We start from the raw sequence: 23,630 nt of genomic DNA, 5'->3' as shown, positions 1-23,630 counted from the left end.
TAGGAACTATGCAGTGCTGGAGGTGAGATAAGGCATCTTCACCGCTGCATTTGGGAAATAATCCAACAAGCAATCCTATGGTTTTAATACAAACACTCAAAGAGGTTCTGGCCATGACCATCTGGGTCCAGCCCTTCACTGAATTGGAAAGACGGCAACGATAATGGTTGAACAGGCCCACATGTGTTGGCTCTGATTCTGAGTTTCCCCCACCCACCGCACCCCATGATTGAAGAGGATACAGGGCTCCACCACTGTCAGGCATCAAGGAAGACACAGGTCTAGGGGAGAAATCAACACTTCTCAGGGTCCTTTTCAAGGGACTACCCCAGAGATGGAAGGTCATCTAGTCTATGGTGTCCTGGACCTGCCTTGGCAGTAGTCGTGGCCATTTTGGGGTAACCTAAAGAAAACAGACAATGTTTGATTTGTAACATATTGAGAGTTGTTTTTGCCCTTTTGATGACCTGCAGACAGCATTTGAGTGATAGGCTTTATAGTATCAACAGAACCAGGGAAACTTGCCCAGAGATTTATAGATTACTACACACCCCCAACATCATATCTTTTCCAAGTCTGTTCCTATAATTCCACTCTCTCCTCACTTTAAGACCACCTACCCACTTTCTAAAAGAGGCAGAAGAAAGAGTTTCTAGGAGTTTCCTTCCTGGGAGTTGTCATGACTTCTGATATAAAGGTTGGCATGAAGTGTCCTCCTAGTAGACATACTCTATACACTAAACACCTTCAGTGGCCCTTACAGACCAGAGAGGGAAATCCCAGGTCCCTAGCACAAAAATGCAGAGAAAAGTTTCTAAAGTTTACAGTGATAAGAGGATGCTCAAGGAAGCCTTCATGCAAACAAAGCCTAATCCTAACATGGAGAAACAAGAAAGCTCCAAACACTTCCTCCCGTTGGGGCAGGATGCTCAGCAGACTCACCCCAAATCCAGCACACCTGTCGAAGCCCCTCCAGTAGACCACCTGCCATTCCAGGGCTTGAGTGTCTCCGCAGCTCCCCTAAGACTCTAAGGTATTGATCCAATTACCACTTGAGGTCACTTATCCTACTGCTGTGTTTTGAGCTGCTTATTGATGCACCTTTTCTCCCTGGAGAAATTACAAGCTTATAGCCCAGAAGGAAACGCTGTGCTCTATGTGCGGCAGGTGTCCAGTGGGAATTTATTGAGCGCATACTGAATAAAATTGCTTTACTTGTAACCCTGGTCCTAATTCTGGTCTAGAGATCCTAGGAGTCCAAAGAATACAGTAAAAGAATTATGTGGAACGATGTGGAGCCAGCTGACAGCTCTGCTACTCTTTGCAGATTTTTGAAGTCTCCGTTGACCATTCTGTCGCATGGACGTCAGAGACACCTGACTGTCAGAGAATCAATGTGTGATTCTGAGGTTTTGTCAGATAATATTTAAATGCCAAAGGCCCTATAAGATATCATTCCTTCTCTTTTAAAAAATGCTTATTTTAAGGTATAGAGCTATAAACTTTGCAAGAAAAATATGCAGAGAGAGATGTCTTTTAAAATGAAAGAGGCAGAATTGATGTGCTTATCACTGATATGAAAGGCTGATATGAAATACTTATCCTTCAAATCTCTGCAACATCTCAGGGGCTGTGCACAAACTCAAACATGTGGACACATTCATTCAGATGACACTGTTTAGTGCCAGAGCCCAGGAATGAAGCGATGGAGGAATGGCTCCAGACATGAAGTCATCATTTGCTGTGCTCCCCTCTTCCTGCAATGAAGTGTCATCCATACTGGTCCTTTGTGCACTCTAGTCTGTCTGCCTCAGCAGGTGGAGACCGTCTTTCTCTTCACGAAGTATGTATAGTTAGCCATACACTGACTCCTAGATGCTCAAAGAATTGATGAAGATTTCTCCAGGAGCTGTTGTTTTTTGCTGACTTTAGGCCAATGCTTTGTCACAGAGACATGTTTACTTCCCCTCAAATTGTATGGACCGAGGTAGGACTGCTAATCTTTTATAATATCACATAAGGACTGAAAAAAAGTACTATTCTGATCACCATTATCCCTTAATCTAGAAAGAATGAAAGTCAGTCTTTACATTGAATAAATTTACAACATTGTTCTTATTTTTCTAATTTCACTTACCTGTACTTGGCTGTCCTGTCCCCAGCACAAGCATTTCAATGATGAAAATGTCTCTCCTTGAATGCTGCTAGATAGGTTCTGAAATACTGAAAAATCTAGCTGGCTTTTCTTACGCATGTTGGCATTGTATGGCATATCACAAAGCTTAAGGGTAGAATATGGAAAAGGAATTGGAAAATAATTGTACAAATCATCAGGAATCAAAGGGTTTCTATGAATTTTCTTATTGGCAGGAAAAATATGGAATCTCTGATACAGATTTTGGTGACCAGATCAGAACTTTGTTCTTTCTTCTCTGTTCCAGGTACATGGCCATCATACATCCCCTCCAGCCCCGGCTGTCAGCCACAGCCACCAAAGTGGTCATCTGTGTCATCTGGGTCCTGGCTCTCCTGCTGGCCTTCCCCCAGGGCTACTACTCAACCACAGAGACCATGCCCAGCAGAGTCGTGTGCATGATCGAATGGCCAGAGCATCCGAACAAGATTTATGAGAAAGTGTGAGTAGAGATGACTCCCCATGCCAAAGAAACGATGGTGCAGGCTGCCTTCCTGGCCCCTTCTTGCTCTTTCTTTCTTTCCATATTCTTTTGTTGGTACAGATTTAATGTGTATCTGCAAGCATTTCTCACATATACCCTCATATCAGGTTGATATGTCCACAGTTGTCAGGGGACTATAGTATCCCAAATACTATTCTGAGCATTGAAAGATAATTTTTGAAGTGTAAGATCTAGATCCTGTTATAGCAGAGCCATATCCCTCGGGCCTTTTACCAGAGACATTACCCTGCCGGGATCTGCCTTTCTTTGCCTAGGAACTTTTTCCTAAGCTACAGAATGCCGCTCTTCTCTCCTGCACAGGTTGCAGGAAGGTGGGGAATTACCTCCCACTCCCAGCAGCTCTCAACAATGATTGAGGGGCTGCTCTGTCTATGGAGTAGCCATTCTTTTATACCTTTACCTTCTTCATAAACTTGCTTTCACTTTGCACTGCCAAAAAAAAAGAACAATGCCTAAGGGGAGCTGGCATCTGAACACCCATCTCTCACCCCTCAGGGGAGTGTGTCTCTGTGGTTTGTGTTTTACATCACGTCCGAGCTTTCCTTGTGGGATTAATCTCCACGGGTAGCTGCCTGGGTAATGTACTCTTTATTGGCCACTGCATCTTCCCTATATCACTGCTCCCTTTTCCTACTGGTGTTTCTTCTCCCGAATAAGGTACTTGCACTTGAAAATCTTGAGATAAGGATTCCCCTTTGCGGAAGACCAAAACAATACACCTACACCCAGGATTTTACAGCTGGAGAAATAGAATATGTGCAGGTGAAACACATGGGAAGGTCAGGCCAGGCATTGAGACCTTATGAGTTACAGGTCCCTGACAGGGCAGACATACTTATCTTCTAGGGGCCTGCCTGATCACATTTAGGGTTTCTCGAAGTATCCCAGCAATTTTCTCCAAGACTTCTTATCCTTGAAACAACATTGAAATGGCATATCTTTGTTTCATTCTGCTCAAGTGAGCCACAATGTGACATTTATATTACAGTTAGTTTTCTGGACTCAGAGCACATGGATAATGTGGATCTTTTTGAAAGCCCTCTATAATTCTCCAATCTCGGGTTTTTTATGTGAATCATAAAAGAACACTGGTGTTAGAATCAAAAGATCTGAATTTTAATTACAAGATTGCCAGTTACTGGCCATATGACCCTGGGCAAGGGTCACAGCCTCTCCTCGTTATTAAAATGAGAGATAATAGAGCTCTGTTTCCTATAAACAATTCTTGTGAAGATCAAACGAGATAATGTATTCTCACCTTGTAAGCTACTAAATGCCATACAAAAGGTATGAACCAAATTCATCAGATAGCAGTATAATTATGAGACCTTTAAACTTAAGTTAAAATGGGACACCATACCTGTCATTTCCCCCAAGCTTTGAGGGCTGAAAGCCTGTTGCACACAGTTACCCTGCTGCATCTGTTCCATGAGCATGGAAATGTAGCTTGCCAGAAAGCAATACATAAAGCTCAGACATCGCCTTCCAGACACAGACAGTGGGATTTAATCGATCAAGCAATGGAGGGATTAATGCTCAGCCTAGGAAATATCGAAAATTATTCTTTCAGATGAAACTACAAGCCTGAGCAAGGTCCCAGCGGGAGAAAGAACACAGCTTTACAAGCCATACAGAACCTGTGAACATGTTCAAGCCAGAAGGTTTCCTCAAAAGGGAAAAAAAAAATCTCCGAATTAAAGCTCGTTATATAAACTGTTTCAGAAATATCTCCCATTGTTTCCACGGGCTGTAGCTCAGCTCTTAGTTTTCATGGTCTTTTCAAAATCTGATCACTTTCTACAACTTTTGTTTCAAAATACTCATAGTTCTTTAATCTTACAACAAATTCAAAGTTTAACTTGGAAATAAAGATTAATTTTCCCACAGATCTCTGGGGTCTTTTCCAAAAAAGAATAATATTTTGGGGGAGTCTTAATTTTGAACATTTTGGTGTTTTATGCTTATGAATGACTAGAAAATCTCTTTGAGACTCAATATGATGTGTTGGATTGTCTTATTTCCTTGCTTTGAGAATTTAGGGTAGCTGCTACTGGATGTACAGTTATGTTTGCCATTGTTGTTTATTTCATCATTTTAATCTAAAAAGTAAGCTTGGCTTAAGAGCATCTAATGTTATCTATTCATGAAGTGTAACATGTTTATTGATACAATAGTAAATCAAAATAGTATATTTGTCATTCACTTAATGACAGTGATGGAAACATAAGTGCATAGCATAGCTTTATTCAAACCTATTTTCTTTTTGTCAGTATCCTTCATAATACATTATATTATTTTTCTAGACAATTTCAATTTTACCATGTCTAAACAGACTACTTAATTATATTCTCTTCTTTTAGAAGAAATGATTGCCACTTTCACAGTACACAACAATCCCAAATTTGAAACCAGATGGAAACTTGTTTTGAGGCAGTATAATAATTAGAAGAGTGTGTGTTTTGGAGTTAGATGAGCGATCAGCTCCCAGTCCCATCACTCTCTAGCTGAGTCATAATGGTCAAGCAATTTAAGGCTCTGAGCCTAATAGTACAGACAGTCCCCCATTTCCAAAGATTCAACTTGCGATTTTTCAACTTTACAATGGTGGGAAAATGATATGCATTCAGTATAAACTGTAATTTGAGTATTCATACGACCATTCTGTTTTTCATTTTCAGTATAATTTTCAATAAATTACATGAGATAGTCAACACTTTATTATAAAATAGGATCTGTGTTATATGATTTTGCCCAATTGTAGGCTAATGTAGGTGTTCTGAGCACATGTAAGGTAAACCAGGCTAAACTAGGATGTTTGGTAGGTTAGGTGTGGTAAGTGCATTTTCAACTTAAAATATTTTCAATTTATGATGGGTTTATCTGGATCTAACCCTATTGTAAGTCGAGGAGCAGCTGTACATTCCACAAAGAAGCATTGAGAGATGTAAGTAAAAATAACCTATATGAAGTCCTCAGCCTAGTGCCCTGGATAGGGGTAAGGGTCTAGTGAATGTTAACTACCAATGTTAGCATCATTCATTAATCTGGTTTCACTGGAAGATGACAGGCAGCAAACAGTGTGATGGGAAGATGCTTAGACCCAATTTAATTGATGAATAATTGTGTAAGCTAATTACATAAAATGTTTTGTGAAAAATCTCAGGTTGCTGCACCTGCCTTCTGGCTGTATGGTGGACCTTCAACCATGATCATTCATTCAAACTCTTTACTAACGTTTGCAAATACAGTTAAACTAACGTTTACTAAAACATCAATTAAATTAAGCACTATTAAAGACAGGAAATCCAATAAAAGAATGAGCAAAGGTTTTGAACATGGGCTTCACACACACACACACACACACACACACACACACAATCCACAAAGTCAATAAATATTATGAGGAGGCACACAACTTCATTTGTTACCAGTGAAATGCAAATTAAAGTGATAATGAGATCTTACTACACAGCCATCAAACTAGAAAATATTAAGAAATCTGACAAAACTAAGTGTTTCAAACTAAGCAATAAGAACATTTGTCAACTGCTAGAAGAAGTATAAATTGATAATTACATTGGAAAATACTTTTTTTTTTTTGAGACGGAGTTTCACTCTTGTTTCCCAGGCTGGAGTGCAATGGCACTATCTCAGCTCAGTGCAACCTCCGCCTCCTGGGTTCAAGTGATTATCCTGCCTCAGCTTCCAGAGTAGCTGGGATTACAGGCGCCCATCACCACGCCCAGCTAATTTTTTGTATTTTTAGTAGAGACAGGGTTTCACCATGTTGGCCAGACTGGTCTTGAACTCCTGACCTCAGGTGATCCGCCGGCCTTGCCCTCCCAAAGTGCTGGGATTGCAGGCATAAGCCACCGTGCCCAGCCCAGAAAATACTTTTATACTGTCTAGAAAAGAAGAAGCTATGCATACCCTATAACTCAGAAATTCCACTTGCAGGTAATTACCCTAAAAAAAACCCATTCACATATACACTCAATGACATCAAACATAATGTTCCCATCAGCATTGCTCTTAATACCCCCCAAACTGGAGATGTTTCAAATATCCATCATCAGTAGAACGGATAAAACAAACAAAAAAAATTGTGGAGCCCAGTGCAGTGGCTCATGACTGTAATCCCAGTATTTTTTGGGAGGCCCAGGCAGGTAGATCGCTTAAGCTCAGGAGTTCAAGACCAGCCTGGGCAACATGGTGAAACCCCCTCTCTACAAATAAATTAGCTCTGCGTGGTGGCAAGCTGACCTGTGGTCCCAGATACTTGGGAGGCTGAGGTGGGAGGATCACTTGAGCCTGGGAGGCAGAGGTTGAGAGGAGCTGAGGTCACTCCACTGCACTCCAGCCTGGGTGACAGAGTGAAATCCTGTCTCAAAGAAGAAGAAAAAAAATGTGGTGTCTTATAAAAATTTAAAGTGCCTTATATAAGTACAAGTCAACACAAATATAGATTGTTTCCCTCTTTATAACACAAAATATAGCCTATTATGCACACTGTTATGCACCTTGTTTTTTTAAACTCAGTATGTCTTAGAGATATTTCCATATTATTCATAAAGAGCTTCTCTTTTTTTTTTTTTTTTTTTTTTGAGACGGAGTCTCGCTCTGTCGCCCAGGCTGGAGTGCAGTGGCGCGATCTCGGCTCACTGCAAGCTCCGCCTCCCAGGTTCACGCCATTCTCCTGCCTCAGCCTCCAGAGTAGCTGGGACTACAGGCACCCGCCACCATGCCCGGCTAATTTTTTTGTATTTTTAGCAGAGACGGGGTTTCACGGTGTTAGCCAGGCTGGTCTCGATCTCCTGACCTCGTGATCCACCCGCCTCGGCCTCCCAAAGTGCTGGGATTACAGGCGTGAGCCACCGTGCCCGGCCTCTTCTCTATTCTTTTTTTAGTATTCTGCTTTTTGAATGTATGCTATTATTTAACCAATCATTTATTGGTGGACTTTAGATTGTCTTCAACGGTTTGCTATTACAGAGTGCCACCATGCATAACATTTATATATATCATGCAAGAATACCTATAGCATAAAATCTCAAAAATAGACTATATCATCTTAATTTTGATATTTGCCCTCCATACAAGGTTGTACTAATTTACATTCTCACCTGCAATGTGTGAGAGTTCCTGTTTCTCCACAACCTCACCAGCAAAGTATATCATCAAGCTTTTAGATTTTTACCCATCTGATGGGGGAAAATAATGAGAATGGGATCTCATAGTTAAAATGCTCATTTCCCTTTTAGGAGTGGGGACGAACATCTTTTTATAATTTAATAGTCATTCATATATATATATTTTATAATCTGCTTATTTCATTTACCATATAGACAATTTCTATGTTATTAAAATTGTTTCTATGACATGATGTGAAGACACACACACACACACACACACACACACACACACACGTATGTTAACAAATCCCCTCCTTTGAAAATTTATTACTTCAGTGGTTTCTCTTAACTGACTGGTAAGATAAACCACCAGCTTCAAAGTTAGCTGCTTCTAGCTATATTCCTAGATCCCTGGGGGAACTGGCTCAGTTTTATCTGCCATTCCCTGTCTGTGTTTACAATTCACAGTTATAGATAATTATGCTAACATTATAACATTCATGAAAATGGGGAGTTAGGCTCATCATTAATATAATATTATCATAATTTGTAATTAAGTCCTGCAATAATTAGCAACCCAGCAGCTTAGCGTGGCTGCTCTGGCAAAACTATGACACTACACAGGAAGTTCTAGGAAGGTGGAGATGACTGACAGGTGATAAAGATTTTACATGTAATCAAAGGTGACTCTTCCCATTGAAGAAGAAAGCACAGAGAAAGAAAGGTGAATGTATAAAGAAGAAAAATTTGACTTTGCAAAATGCACTGACCCTTTCCTTTTTTCTATAAAAACTGTGAGGAGCATGCAGTAGCTTTCAAAGTTAATGAGAGCTAAGCCCATTCTTGTAGTTGTTATGTGGGCTGTAGGGTGGCAATGGTCTCAGAAGGTACTAGGGCAATGCCCCTGAGGACAAGGAAGATGAATGAGCCAACATTTCTTCATCAGAGAACCCACAATCAAGGCCAAGAAAAAATCTGTAATGAGGATGAAAAATGAAAAGGACATCCAAAAAAATGAGATTTAGACAAGCTGGGAATTTCTGCTTCCCTGAGTCATTTATTAATATTGGTCATATGTCATTTTCTGATAATTAAATTTCTATGTACATAATTTTATGGTAGAGTTTTAGCAAGAAGTAAGACATTCCTATTCTGAATTCTAAATATTACCAATAATAGTGGGAGAGGAGGCTATGTTAGAAAACAGAATCGTTCATTTAATTAACTGGATATTTTGTGGAAATGTGAGTGAATATGAATATGTTAGCTCTAATATAATTCTCTACAGGTACCAACTGTAACAGCAGACTACAAAAATATGCCATCGTCATTATTTACTTCATCTTTTGTATATTATGATTCATTATCAAAAATCAGCCGAAATTTTTATATCTATGTGTATTCTTTACTTTCGTTCACAATAATAAAAATTGAAAATCACCTCATTAACAGGGAGTAAGAGAGGAATATTTAAAAATATACCTACAGCACTACTTCTTAAATTTTCCGTCTTCTTGATTATTTTACAAATTTAAAAAAAAATGTGGATCCTTTGGCAAGCTGCTCTAGGCCTTGGCCAAAGGGGTGTCAACATATTTGTGTTTCCAGGATTGATTGTTTATGCTAGCTGTTGTGATTACTCTCTTCCCCTGACACCCACTACACTTATAAATACAGCCCAGAGCCCCTAGTATTATCGCTTTGGTTGATGAAAAGCAATTAAATGGAGAGGGAAAAGTGCATTGACACTGCAGGGGAAGATGCTAGCATAAACACATGCCCTTAACCTTGACTCCCAGACAGAAATCAGAGTGAACAAAGTAAAAAAAAAAAAAAAAAAAAAAAAGGAAGAAGAAAAAAGGAGGAAAGCCAACGTTACTGCAGAAACTAGGAAGGTTGCCACACAAATGCCAGAAATTTTACTACATTTCTGGTAGACATTGTGCAGATAGCGCCAAACAGGAGGCAGCCACCAAGTGCTTTATGGCCTCTACATACCAATAGCCCCTAATTAGGAGGTGAAAGTGTGAGCCTTGAAGCCTTGAGAAAGATGGGTCCACCCAATTTAGGACTCCTTTGGGGTGCTGCCATCAACTTCCGGAGGCAGCTGTCCTCAGATGGAGAAAGAGAAAGCACAGAGGCCAGAGAGCATAACTCACAATAAGAATAAATGGATGATTTTCCACAAAACCATAAATTATCAAACTGATACAGCTTGGAGGTAAAGGGGAATGAAACTACTGTTCAAAAATTACATTTACAAAAGGCACTGGGATCAAAATCTGTGCAGGGAAAAATCTTTCAAATACTCTTATAAGCTCTTCAAGAGCACAGAACAATATGGAAATCTTGCTCATTTATTATGGAGATTTGGTAAAACCTAAATATAGAAAGCTAACAAAGACAACTCCAAAAACAAACCTTCAGACCAACTCCATTTACAAATATAGATGCAAACATCCCAATTAAAACGTTCACCAAAAAAATAAAAATTATATTGAAACAGTAATGTTATGTTTTTGAGCATGACTTTTTCCAGCAAATAATACTAGCAAATAAATTATCAGGAAATCTGTTATTATATTTCTTCAAATTAAATTGTTAAAGGGGAGCATCATATATTTGTCTCAAGAAATGCCAAAATTAAATTTGTTAAAATGTAGTGTTGAAGAAAAAAGTAGCTTATTTCAGCAATAATTATTCAGCAATAATCCTTGACAAAATAAAATGAAAAATGGATTTCCTTTTCAAAAAAAAAGTGAAAACCCTTAGAATAATTAAGAAATAGCCAGAACTTATGTAAGCAAAATGAAAAATATCATGCTAATTTAGACTTTACTGGACGGCATAAGAAAATATTTGAGAACTACATTCCACATGATTCAAAACACAGAAAGTGTTTAAGGATATATAGAAAACAGTTTCCCTTCTATCTTTATATAATTCCTAAGGATATCAGTTCTTCTCAAACTATTCCTAAGAGTACGTTTAGGCAGTTTGATAAAGTGAATCATCTGAAAGAGTTAATGGATAAAACTCGTTCAAGAAAATAATAAACAACAAGAATTAATTTTTATATCAGCAAAATAACTTTTAAGAGAATGATAATAAATGACTTGCCATTCGAGATATCAAAATACTCAGTACTAGGGGTAGAATCATTTAATAAAAGCAGACTAGAAATTACACATGCACACACAAAAACTCAAACGTATAAAATTTTGTGTTTAGTATGTGCTAAAGATAGCATGTCAAATTTGTAAGGATTATTCCATCACTATTTTTGGAAACCTGAATAACCTAAAATTGTAGGATTCTGTACTTGAATGAGTTTGTAGATTACTCTCTATACTACCGCTGCCCACAACTTGGATAGTCACAGTATATAATAGCATATTGGAGCCTTTGAGAGGGTTTCCTTTTTAAATTTTTTTTAAAAATTTATACATATTTGTGTGGTTTAGAAATCAGAAAGTGTAAAAAAGTAATTAGGAAAAGGTTTCTCTCTCTCTCTCTCATACTCGCCCTGTTTCTACCCCTACCACTTTATGGACAACCACCATTCTTGGTTTCTAATGAACCTTCTAACATTTCTTTATGCCATCTAAGAAAGTGTAAACATATATTCTTACTGTCTCCTTTCTTAATGCACAATACAATATACAGTATACCCTATTCTGACTTTTTCTGTTAACAATCTTGGATATCCTTTCCCATCAGTATTGCAAGCATTCTCACATCTTTTCTTTACAGCTGCATAGTATTCTTTATATGGAGAAACCATAATTTACTTATCCAGTATGATATTGACATATATTTGCATTGTGTCTAATGTTTTGCCACTTCAAATTCTATTACAAAGACTAGTCTCCATCCTAGTAAGTATTGCAGTGAAGAAATCCAGTGGTTTTGCTTAAACCTTCTGCTTCTCAAACTTATTTGATTGTGGAATCCTTCTTTTGATTAATCCTGTAAACATCACACAGAAGTATTATCCATAAAACATATTCTGGGGAAACTCTGGACTAACCATAAAACTGGATTCCTTTCTCACAACTTAAAACCAATATAAATTCCAAATAAATTGGGATGGAGTAGAGGCTTTCAATGCATAACCCTCAAGGTAGAAGCCAAAATGAAAGATTGCTGGTTTGCATATATAAGTAGATACACACATACAGATATAGTTATAGATGAGTTTGTTAAATTCTATATATCAGGAAACTCCATGAAGAACTTCTGCACGTGACAAACTGAGAAAAAGATTATAATATATGAGAAAAACTAACATAGAGGACTGCAACTTATCAATAAGAGTAAAGCAACCCTCAAAACACTATAGCTCATAAAAGAATATGAAAAATTATATTCCAAATAATGTATACAATTTTTCCTTTATTTGAGTGGCCCATGTTAAACTTAATGAAAATGTTAAGTATCAGTGAGGTTATGGGGAAGGTGGGAGCTGTTTTCAGGAGCATAGTTTGACAATATCTGTCAAAGTTTTCAAATGTGTAGTTGATTTGAATCAGCAATTACATTCTTAGAAAGTCTTAACAGCAATTATGTAAGATTTTGTCAGCATGGTTTATAGAGCTGTAAAATTAGAAACAAATATCAAATCATAAAAGATTGATTAAAGAAATGATGGATCATTCATACAAAAAACTATACAACTGTTAAAATGGCATTATACAAGCACATTAATGTGAAAATATTAATAATACCGATCATATATTATGATCATAATATTATTTATCATAATATTATAATCAGTAAATAAAGCAGGCTTCAAAGTAATATGTGCAGTTAGTGCCCCTTGTATGTTTCATAAAGTATATTCATGCACTTATGGATTATAGGTAAAAAGTCTGGAAAATTATGCAGCAAAATTTAATACGCAATGTTTTTGCCTTTGATGTGGAATTATAGGTCATCTAAAATTTTTACTTTAGATTTTCTGCAATTTAAAATAATTTATCTATACTGAAAATAAATTATTGCCTTGACTGCATTTTTAAATTAAGTAAAGTGAAATTTTTAAGACATCTACTTCTAGAATAAAAATATTATCACTTGAAAAAAAATCACCAAGAAATAAAAAGATGAGATAAAATGAATATATGAAAAATAGACCACAATCATTTTCTCTCTAAATTCTTAAGACACTGTTCCATGGTCTTCCAATATTTACTTAAGTGAAGAAATCTGATACCATCTGATTTTTTTCCCATTTTACATAATTTGTGATTTCTGCCTGCATACATTTAAGATTTTTCTTTATCTTATTGTAATGCTTCATTTCGTATTGTATTTTCAAAAGCCGCACCAGAAGACATGTATATGTAGAGGATTTTGTCATTTTCTGTCATTGCTGAGACCTTTTAATCTAAAGTCAGATCTCTAGTTCAGGGAAATTCTCCTTTAAAAACAACATTTTTTAATGGCCTGCCCTCTTTTCTGCTCTCCTTTCAGAGTTACTGCTACACATAAATTGTGTACTTTCCGTGTCCCTTACTATTTTACTAACTTGATTATTTCTTTCACCATTTTATGGTTTCTGGGTGAATTCTTAGGCATTTCTGATGAAACTGTAAGATGAAGAGATTATCTGCTCTTCACGGCTTCCTCTGCATTTTTAATGTTGTAATCCTGTTTTTATTTGAAAGCAGTATTTTCTGCCCTTTTCCTAAGTGCAACAGCATTTTTAATTCTGTAACCATGTTTTCATTTGAAAGAAGTATTTTCTGCCCTTCTCATAAGTGCAACAGCCTCAAATCTCGTTTAAAAACAAATATGGAATTACTTTGAATTTCCACCTGTTTCTTGAAGTAAGCTATCTCACAAAGAGACATTTACTTTTCTTCCCACATTAGCTTCAGCAAACATCCAACCATTTTCCCTTTTTGTTCATTCTAATAACTGTAGTCCGGTATGGAGAGTTAAAATAGATTCCAAGTTAAAGGGGTCTCTACTCAAGTCTTTAAATTCCAGATTTAAAAAGGAGTACGTGTGGCTTTGCTGTGGTTCTGCCCTTCCCAGCTGCCTCAACACTGTACAGGAGCAGCCTGAGGATATTCAGAGCCCTGCCCTCTCCCTCATTAGTCATTACGGTTCATGTCTCCAAATATTCAAGCCAATGGGAAGTGCACATTGGCCCGCGAGCTGTCAGTTTCTTACCGCGATGCCGATTGTACATCCCAAAGATGACAGAAGGTTCAAGGTTTGTCCTCACCCCTTCTCTCAAGCCCTTCCTCAGCTCCACCCTGCAGCCTTCAGCACTGCAGCAAGTTCCTTAAAATTGTTTTCCCAAACAGGTTGTTCTTCCTGCAGCTGCCCAGATCCTCCTTCAGTTTGGTCTCAGCTGCTCAGTAACTGAAGAAATTTATTCTGGCCAGTGGGTGACCTCCTGCACTTGTTTCCAGAGCTGAGACGAATTTTTACATTCCTTTGATAATCTCAGGAACCATTTCAGAGGGAAAAGGAATTAACTACATGGAGCTTAAATTTGAGTATTATGTACAAATTTTGAAATGATTTTGAAATGATTTTATTTTTTCCAGCTGGTGATACATCAAAGTAATTTAGTTTTGTGAGCTTATCTTTTATCTAGCCAATTTATTGATTCTAATAATGATTAAGCTGTTTTTTTCTAGGAATACAATCATATCATCTATAAATAATGATTTTGTCTCCATCTTTCTAGTGGTTATGCCTCTTATTTCTGCTTCATGTTGTATTGTAAGACCATAACTTTCACAGTATTAAGTAATAATAATTTTGTTAACTTTCTTACTTTTCTGGAAACACCTACAATACTTCACCATTAAGTAAGTTTTGGGTTATTGGTTTCACAATTAAGTTCAATGTTCAATGAACTGCTGAGAAGACTGTTTATCAATAGTCACACATTTTATTATTTTAAGAAGCATTATACTATTCCTAGTACGACAGAGTTTTGTAAAAATATATCAGCATCTGTTGAGAAAAGTATATTTTTAATGTACCCCATGTATGCAAATCATTTTAATTCTATTCCCTGTGTCTCTTGAATAAATCTTAGTTGGTCATGGTAAGTTATGCTTTTAATATACTGACTAGTTATATTACATAGGATTTTTATATCAATATCAAAAAGTAATATTTGTTTGGTTTTCTGTGTGCTGTCTTTGTCAGATTTTGGTATCAAGGCTAGGGATGCTTTTAAAAACTGTCTTTGTTTTCCAAAATAGCATTGGAATTAGCAAAGGAACTTACCCATAAAACCAGCTCGCCCTTGAGCCCTTTATGAAAGAAACTCTATAATACATTTTATTTCATCACTGCCACTTATAGTTTTTCTGCTTTTTCAATTTGTTAATTTATATTTTTAAGAAAAAAATCTATTTCATAGTGACTTTTTAATTTAATAACATACAATTATACATCATCTTTTCACATTTTTAATTTCTACTTCCTCTATTTTTTCCAAAATACTTGCCAAAATAGTTTATTTACCAATTCTATTGCCTTTCATTCTTTAATGTATCTTTTATCTTTATTTTTCTCCCCCTACCTAAGTTCGTTTAAATGCACATTTTCTGGATTTTTTATTTTAATACTCAGTTCATTTATTTTCAATTGTCAAATAGTGAAAACATCTACCAATAAAATTCATTTTGTCTCCATTCCATAAATGCTGATATATAGTGCTCTCGTATTCTTTACTTTTTAAACAATCTACCACTACCTAAATTTTTTTATTGACTCAATAGGTATTTAGAAAAATTTTAAGTCCAATGTATTTCAAGTTTTCTTTCTTTCTTTTCTCCTTCCTTTCTTCCTTCCTTTCTTCTTTCCTTGCTTCCTCCATTCCCCCTTCCTTCTTTCATCCTTGCCTCCATTCCCTTTCCTTCCTTTCTTATGCAAAACAGACTATGGCATATATCAAAGGTTACCTTTTGGGACTTATTAGAATGCTCTTTTTGGCCTGAAATATGGAGACAGATGAGGATTCAAAGTTGGTTAGTGAATCATCTTATTGTTTTGTTCAATTTGTTGCTGTTATGGATTTTTGATAACTTATCCAATCATAGAGTGAGAGTGATACCTTAAAATCTTTCATTGTAATTGTCCTTTTGCTAAATTCTCTTTATATTTTTAAAAGCTTTGCCTTACATGTGCTGAAGATATGTTTGTTTTCACTATAGATTATACATTTAGTAACAGAAAATATATTTATATCTCTATTTAGTGCTTTTTTGCCATTAACACTACTTCCTGTAGTATTAATAGTAACACCTCTGATTTGTTTACTTATACTTTTTCATCATTTTATTTTAGTTTTTTCCATATATTTAGTTTTCCTCTATCATTTTGTTGTGAGAATTCCTCTTACATACAGTATATTTTGATATCGGTTCATAACTTAAGATTCTTTTTTCTTTTAATAGGCTAGTTGAACATTTCCACACTCATTGTCTTTATCTATATATATTGTTATAGTTGGTCTTCTTTCATCATTTGGTTTAATACTTTCTGGTTTTTGTTTCCTCTTTTTTCTATTTTTCCTTTATAGATGGTTTGTTGACTATTATCTTTGGTAATTTCAAAGATACATATGTTTTATTTCGTTATATAAATAGTTATCCTAAAGTTTTTTTAAAAATATTCCCTACTTCCATAGCTATTAACATTTACAATATTTATAATGTCACTTGGCATTATATTGACAACTATTGACATAATTTTAATAACAGAATTCATTTTTTACTTCCATTTATAGGAAAAGGAAATTTGTCACTTTCTATTCTCATATTCCCTTGCCAGTTTTTCTGTTAATAACCTGGAGTTTATAACCTGTGTGTTCTACAATATATGTCAGCATTCTCAAAGTGTAGTAACAAAACTCCTGCGATACATTTAAGAGGTATATGAGGTTAAAATTACTTATATAAAGACAGGAAGACATTATTTACCTTTTTCATTCTCTCATGAGTCTACAGTAGAGTTTTTCAGAGGTTCCATGATTTCTGATATCACAACACACTGAATATAGAAGCAGATATGAGAATCCAGATGTCTATCAACCTAGCTATTAAAGGGATTTGCAAAAATGCAAAACAATGCCCCTCTCTTTAATAATTTTTTTGAAATAAATAGAATAGTTTGTAATTCATGTATTATTTATGTTAACTTTCGATGAGTTTATCATTGCCATTTTTAATAAAGTTATATTTTAGAACAGTTTTAGATTTACAGAAAAGTTGCAAAGATAGTACAAAAAGTTTTCAGATACTCCACACTCAGTTTTTCTTAGTATTTATGTCTGATAGTATAGTACATTTATCACAATGAATAAACTCAATATTTATAAATAATTCATAACTAAAATCCATACTTTTTTCCCAGTTTTTCTTTAGTGTCTTTTTCCTGTTCCAGGATCCCATCCGGGACGCCACATTACATTCATGTCTCTTTAGGCTCCTCTTGGTTGTGACAGTTTCTCAGACTTCCCTTGTTTGTGATGTCTTTGATAGTTTCAAGGCATAGTGATCAGGTTTTTTGTGGCAGATCCCTCAGTTGGAATTTTTTTGACATTTTTTTCATGATTACACAGGGGTAATATGTTTTAGGGAAAAAAACAGAGGTAGAGTTCCATTCTTGTCACCTCATTAGAGGGTATATGCTATCAATATGACTTACTACTATTGATGTTAATCTTTTTTCAGCTTTATTGAAGTATATTTAACTCATAAAAGTATGTGCATTTACGGCGTACAATATGATGTTTTCATACATTGGGAAATGATTAAACCAAGCTGATTAAAATATTTATCACTTCAATACTTATCATTTCTTTCATGGTGAGAACATTTAAGATCTACTCTCTTAGCAATTTTCAAGTGTACGATGCATTATTATTAACTATAGTCATTATGTTATACAATAGATTGCTGCAACTTATTCATCCTAAGTGACACTTTGTGCCCTTTGACCAACATCTCCATTCCCCTCCACCTCCAGCCCCTAGAAACTACCATTCTACTCCCTGTTTTTATGAGTTCAACTGTTTTAGAGTCCACATGTCAATGAGATCGTGCAGTATTTGTCTTTCTCTGCCTAGCTTATTTTACTTAGCATAATGTCCTCTGGGTTCATCCATGTTGTCACACATGAAAGCATCTTCTTTTTTAAAGCTGAATCATATTCCATTGTGTATATTTATCACATTTTCTTTATCTATTAATCCATTGAGGAACACAGGTTGATTCTATATCTTGGTTATTGTGAATAATGCTGCAACAAACATGGAAGTGCAAATATCTTGTCAACATACTGATTTCATTTCTTTCAGATATATACCCACAAGTAGGTTTGCTGAACCATATGATATTTCTATTTTTAATTTTTTTAGGAACTTCCGTATGGTTTTCCACAATGGCTGTAATATTTTACATTCCCATCAACCATGCACAAGTATTCCCTTTTCTCTACACCCTCTCCAACACTTGTTATCTCTTGTCTTTTTAGTAATAGCCATCATAACAGTTCTGAGCTGATAGCTCATTGTGGTTTTAACTTGTATTTCCCTGATGATTAGTGCTGCTGAGCATTTTTCTCATATACCTGAAAGCCATTTGTATGTCGTATTTTGAGAATTTTTCCTCCTGTTATTGATTTGTAGTTTCATATCACTGTGGTCAAAAAAGATACTTGATATGATTTCAGTCTTCTTAAATTTAATAAGACTTGTTTTACATCCTAACATGTTATCTGTTTTGGAGAGTATTCTGTGTGTGCTTGAAAGGAATGTGTATTCTGCTGCTATTGGATGGAATGTGCCATATATGTCTGTCAGGTACATTTGGTCTAAAGCATGTTTCAAGTCCTATGTTTCCTTACTAATTTTCTGTCTAGATGATTTATCCATTGTTGAAGTGGCTTATTAAAGTCCCCTACTATTATTATGTTGCTGTCTATCTCTCCCTTAAGACCCATTAAATTAATATTTGTTTTATATAGTTGGGTGCATATATATTTACAATTGTTATATTCTCTTGATGAATTGACCCCTTTATCATTATATAATTATATTATTTTCCTCTTTTTGCAGTTTTGACTTAAAGTCTGATACAAGTATATCTACACCTGCTCATTTTTTGTTTGGATGGCGTATCTTTTTCTACCCCTTCACTTTCAGTCTTTGTGTGTCCTTAAAGCCAAAATGAGTCTCTTACAGGCAGAATATACTTTAGTCTTAATTTTTCAATCCATTAAGCACTCTGTGTCCTTTGATTGGAGAATTTAATTCACTTATTTTCTGTTTTCAAGGTAATTATGGATAGGTACATACTACTGCCATTTGGTCAATTGTTTTCTGGTTGTTTTGTAGATTCTTTGTTGCTTTCTTCCTCTCTTGCTCTCCTCCTTTGTGATTTGACTATTTTCTATAATAGTATGCTTTGATTCCTTTCTCTTTATCTTTTATGTATCTACTTTATGTTTCTGCTTTGTGGTTACCATGAGGCTTATGTAAAATATCTGACAGTTATAACAGTCTATTTGAAACTGATAACAACTTAGGCTTGTATCCCCTACTCCACCATCTTTGTCAGATTTCTCCACAAATACTAAAATTATTATTTTTCCCCTCTTTCCCATACTCTAGTCTTTGGAAGGAAGTTACTGTGTGAAGGCTATCCTTAAGGAGTGGAGAGGAATGTTCCTACTCCTTTACTGCAGAGTAGCTACATAAATTCTTTGCAATTTTTATGCACTGAAGATTTGTCTCTTCTCCATCATTTACATATTTATTTATTTATTTATTTATTCAATCATTTATTTATGTTAGTATGGACTCATGGGTATTTATTTTGGTCTCAGGGTATAATTTCTTTGAGTTACTCAATTTATTTTATTGCTCAAATTGTTCCAGTTTTGGCCATTGGGGCCACTTTCAGGTTGCTTCTGTATCTCTTTGACATACCCCATTATGACATATTCCATACTTACAGGGATTCGAGGGTTTTGTTTTGTTTTTAGTTTCTAGTTTTGTGCTTTTTGTGTTGTGTCGTGTGTTTTGAGGACTTTCTTACTTTGTGCTACTACAGGATGCTCCAGGCTCATCTTGTATATTTCCTGCCCCAGTTCTACAATCAACCACTTCTCTAAGAAGCCCTGGTTTCTTCTATTAGGGAATGATATTAGAAACCAACACCTGGGCTCTAGGTATATTATTGTTATTTTTAAACAACTTAACAAACACTGTCAAATGGTTCTCTGCTTTTGTTTCTAATATAGTAAGTATTGATAGATACGACCCACATGAACAAAAGTTCTTTGGGAGTCCTCAATTATTTTTATTAGTGTAAAGAAATACCAAGACCAAATAAGTTGGGAACAAGTAATAGAGATCTGCTCTCTTAAAAATGTTTTCTATTCCATTTCATAATTATGGTCCACAAACAATGATTTACTGTCATCTCTATATATTTTTATTTTACTGATAATCACCAGTTTATTAGTTCTATGGCCTCATTATTTTGAATTTTCAGTTTTGATCCATCATCCATCATTCTGAATCATGTCTTTTGGTAGTTTCTCTGCAGAAAATAGTACTTTCTTACATATTTGATAATACCTTTATTTGGCATATACTTACCAATGGCTGCTTGATTGGGTATAAATTGTGGGAATATCACGATTTATAAATATATAAATAATTTTTTTTCTTTTAAGCTCAGCATAGATTGCTCCTTTGTTGTTTGAAGGCAAAGTGATATCTTCTTTTGTGGATAACCTAATATGTACCCCCCAAGATACTTGTATGATTATATGTTAATCTAGAAAATCCAAACAGGATTTAAATAGTAAGTCTTCCCATAACCTAACACTTACTGTCAATGTTCAGACCAAGATATATTTTAGATCTGAAAAAAAAAATTTACTCTATTACAGTTAGAACCTTTGGCTTCAAATAATAGAAGTAAGATCGTGTATCAGTTAGTTCCTGCTGCGTAACAAATCATTCCGAAACTTAGTGGTTTAAAGTAACAACTGTCCATTTAGGTCATGATTTTGTGGATTGCTGGCTGCTCTGGTTTGTGCCAGCTCAACTGAATTCTGTGGGAGTGTCTCATATGTCTGCAGTCACCTATGGGTCATGTGGCTGCTGGATAACCTAGGAAGCCTTATTCACTTATCTTGTACTTGGAAGATTGTCAACCAGGATGACAGAGGTAACTGAACCATGTGTTTCTCATTACCCAACAGGCGAGTTTAAGCTTCTTTATGGTGGCCTGAGTTCAAAAGCAGGAAAAGAGGACAAACCCCATGGCACTAATGCTTTTTGAGCCTCTGCTTATCTCACATATGCCAGCATGCCACTAGTCAAGCAACCCATATGGCATGTCTTTATTTTTATTTTTTTATTTTTTTATTTTTTATTTTTGGAGAGACAGAGTCTCACTCCATCACTCAGCCTGGAGTGCAGTGGCACGATCTCGGTTCACTGCAACCTCCACCTCCAGGGTTCAAGCAATGTGGCTCAGCCTCCTGAGTAGTTGGAACTACAGGCATGTGCTACCATGGCCAGCTAATTTTTGTATTTTCAGTAGAGATGAAGTTTCACCATATAGGTCAGGCTGGTCTTGAACTCCTGACCCCAAATGATCTGCCTGCCTTGGCCTCCCAAAGTGCTGGGATTACAGGTGTGAGCCACCGTGCCCGGCCTTTATTTTCAATTGCCAAAGAGAACCTAGCATTTATTTATCAGGTGCAGTTCCAGAATCATGATGACGATTTGCCCAATGTGAGTCAAGAGCTCACTCCCAAAGTAATCTACAGTGGAGCTACCACTCATGAGCTATGTGACTTTGGCAAGTTACTTTTTACTCCTCTGAGCCTCAGTTTCCTCAATATGAAAATTAGGAATAATAATATTACCTACATCATGAGTTATTGTGAGGATTAGATAAAATATTGTATATAAAACCCTTAGCACAGTGTCTGGTACACAGTGATCATTCATCTACCTTTAAGATGCTTTATTTATTAGTATTACTAATATGGAAAGTCTTGAAGTATCATTAATGAGAGGACTTATTAAAAAGATGCTTACATCATTTTTATTTTTTGCTTCATCTCTATTATTTTTATCTCTTTCGGAATATCTTCTTATTAGAAGCTAGGATTGCTGAGAATCTCACTTCTATTTCTATTATATTCTTATCTTTATTTTCACCTTGTTTTCCTTTTTCTAAAATATTCTCAGTGAATAATCAACTTGTCCTCTGCCTGACTAATTCAGTTTTCTGCCGTGTCCAACATGTTATTCATCATTCTTTTTTTTTTTAATACAGCAACCACATTTTTCATCATGGTTGTCTGGGTATAGACATTGGAACTCATTTCATGGAAGTCTCCTTTTGTTTCTTGAAGACAGATGTTATTAAGTACATAAATTAGCTATTTCAACAGTATTTTTTTCTTATAGTAATCTATTTCAGGGGACACATTTATGTTACCAAAAATATTCAGTGAATTGAAGGTTGCATTCTTCTGAACCACAAAATTTCCTTATAGTTACCAAGAACATTATTTTTTGACTTATTCTCACAATGAGAGAGCTATGGCTCTGCAATGTGATTTATCATTTTATTCATTCACTTAGCAAATATTTATGAACCCTTACTTTATAGTACGTACTATGCTATAGATAAAACAATGACCTATCACACTCGTCACCTTAAAGCTCTTAGAGTCTACTGCACACTTGGGCAGGGAAGCAAGCATGTGGATACAGTAGTTAGTGCTGCAATAAATCCACAGTGCCATTCATTACCACAGAGTCATGAAATGCTCAACAGACCAAGATAGTAATCAGCTGAGTCCTGGAGGTTAGATATGAGTTAGTCATATGGCATTTGGAGGATGAGGGAAGCAAATCAGTAGGCAGAGTTTGTTGGAAAAAAGAATTCCAAATCGAGACAACCACATGCACAAAGATTTGAAAGAGAGGTTATAATTTATGCCAAAGAAACTAAATTTAAAAATAATAATTGCTAGCATTCATTATGCACCTATGATGTTCCAGGCACTCTGCCAAGAACTTTGCATGCATCATCTCATTTCATCCCCTCAGCAGCTCAAAGTGGTAGGCAAATTGTCCAAGTGCTCCAGCAAGTATGTGGCAAAACCAGAATCTGAACTGAGGGAGTCTGTCTTTGGAGCTCACTCATTAGCTACTACATCATCCTGCCTCTCTGAAAAAACTCAGCATGGCTATGTGGAGTGTGTGATGTGTGTGGGGGTGTGGGTGGCATGGTAGGTGAGGAAGAATGGGAATAAGGGAAGAGATCCCAGGCTGGAAATCATAAAGAGTATTGTAGGATCACTGAGTTTATGCTTTATTCTAACAATAATGGGGAATAAATGCTGGAAGAAGACAGTGGTCATGAAACGCCTGTGAAATGCATCCCAGTGGACATATGTGTTCTGTGAGGTCTGAGGTATGGATATAAAAACGTGAGTCATAAGCTCATAGATGGATTTACAACCTTGGGGACAGATTAATCACCTGGGGAGATCTGGCTGAAGAAGGTCTAGAAAAAGCCCTGAGGAAGTCGATAGAAAAGGAGGACTTGATAAAAGGGGCTGTGAGCCAGTGGCCAGCAGGGTAGGAGAGAAACTAGAGGTGTGGTGTCTGAGAATGCAAGGAAAGGGGCCTGAGAATCTACAGTGACATCAGTCAACCTGGCCGCGCAAACCTCTCCCTGGGTTCAGCCTCTGGGGCAGCTGTGGGCAAGAATGTGGGTGG

The 23,630-nt window shown here is 36.1% G+C and overlaps 1 protein-coding gene across 2 annotated transcripts in view; it reads left to right on the top strand.

Moving 5' to 3' along the window:
- Nucleotides 1–23,630, top strand: part of TACR1 (tachykinin receptor 1) — a 153,058-nt gene that overhangs the window by 76,311 nt on the left and 53,117 nt on the right. For both annotated transcript variants that reach the window (NM_001058.4, NM_015727.3), the window contains exon 2: nt 2,442–2,636. In NM_001058.4, the coding sequence (NP_001049.1) occupies nt 2,442–2,636 (195 nt within the window). The remainder of the gene's footprint in view (nt 1–2,441; nt 2,637–23,630) is intronic.

Source organism: Homo sapiens, chromosome 2 (assembly GCF_000001405.40).
Source record: "Homo sapiens chromosome 2, GRCh38.p14 Primary Assembly".
Taxonomy (NCBI): domain Eukaryota; kingdom Metazoa; phylum Chordata; class Mammalia; order Primates; family Hominidae; genus Homo; species Homo sapiens.
Note: the sequence above shows the minus strand (reverse complement) of the source record. Positions and strands in the feature narration are given on the sequence as shown.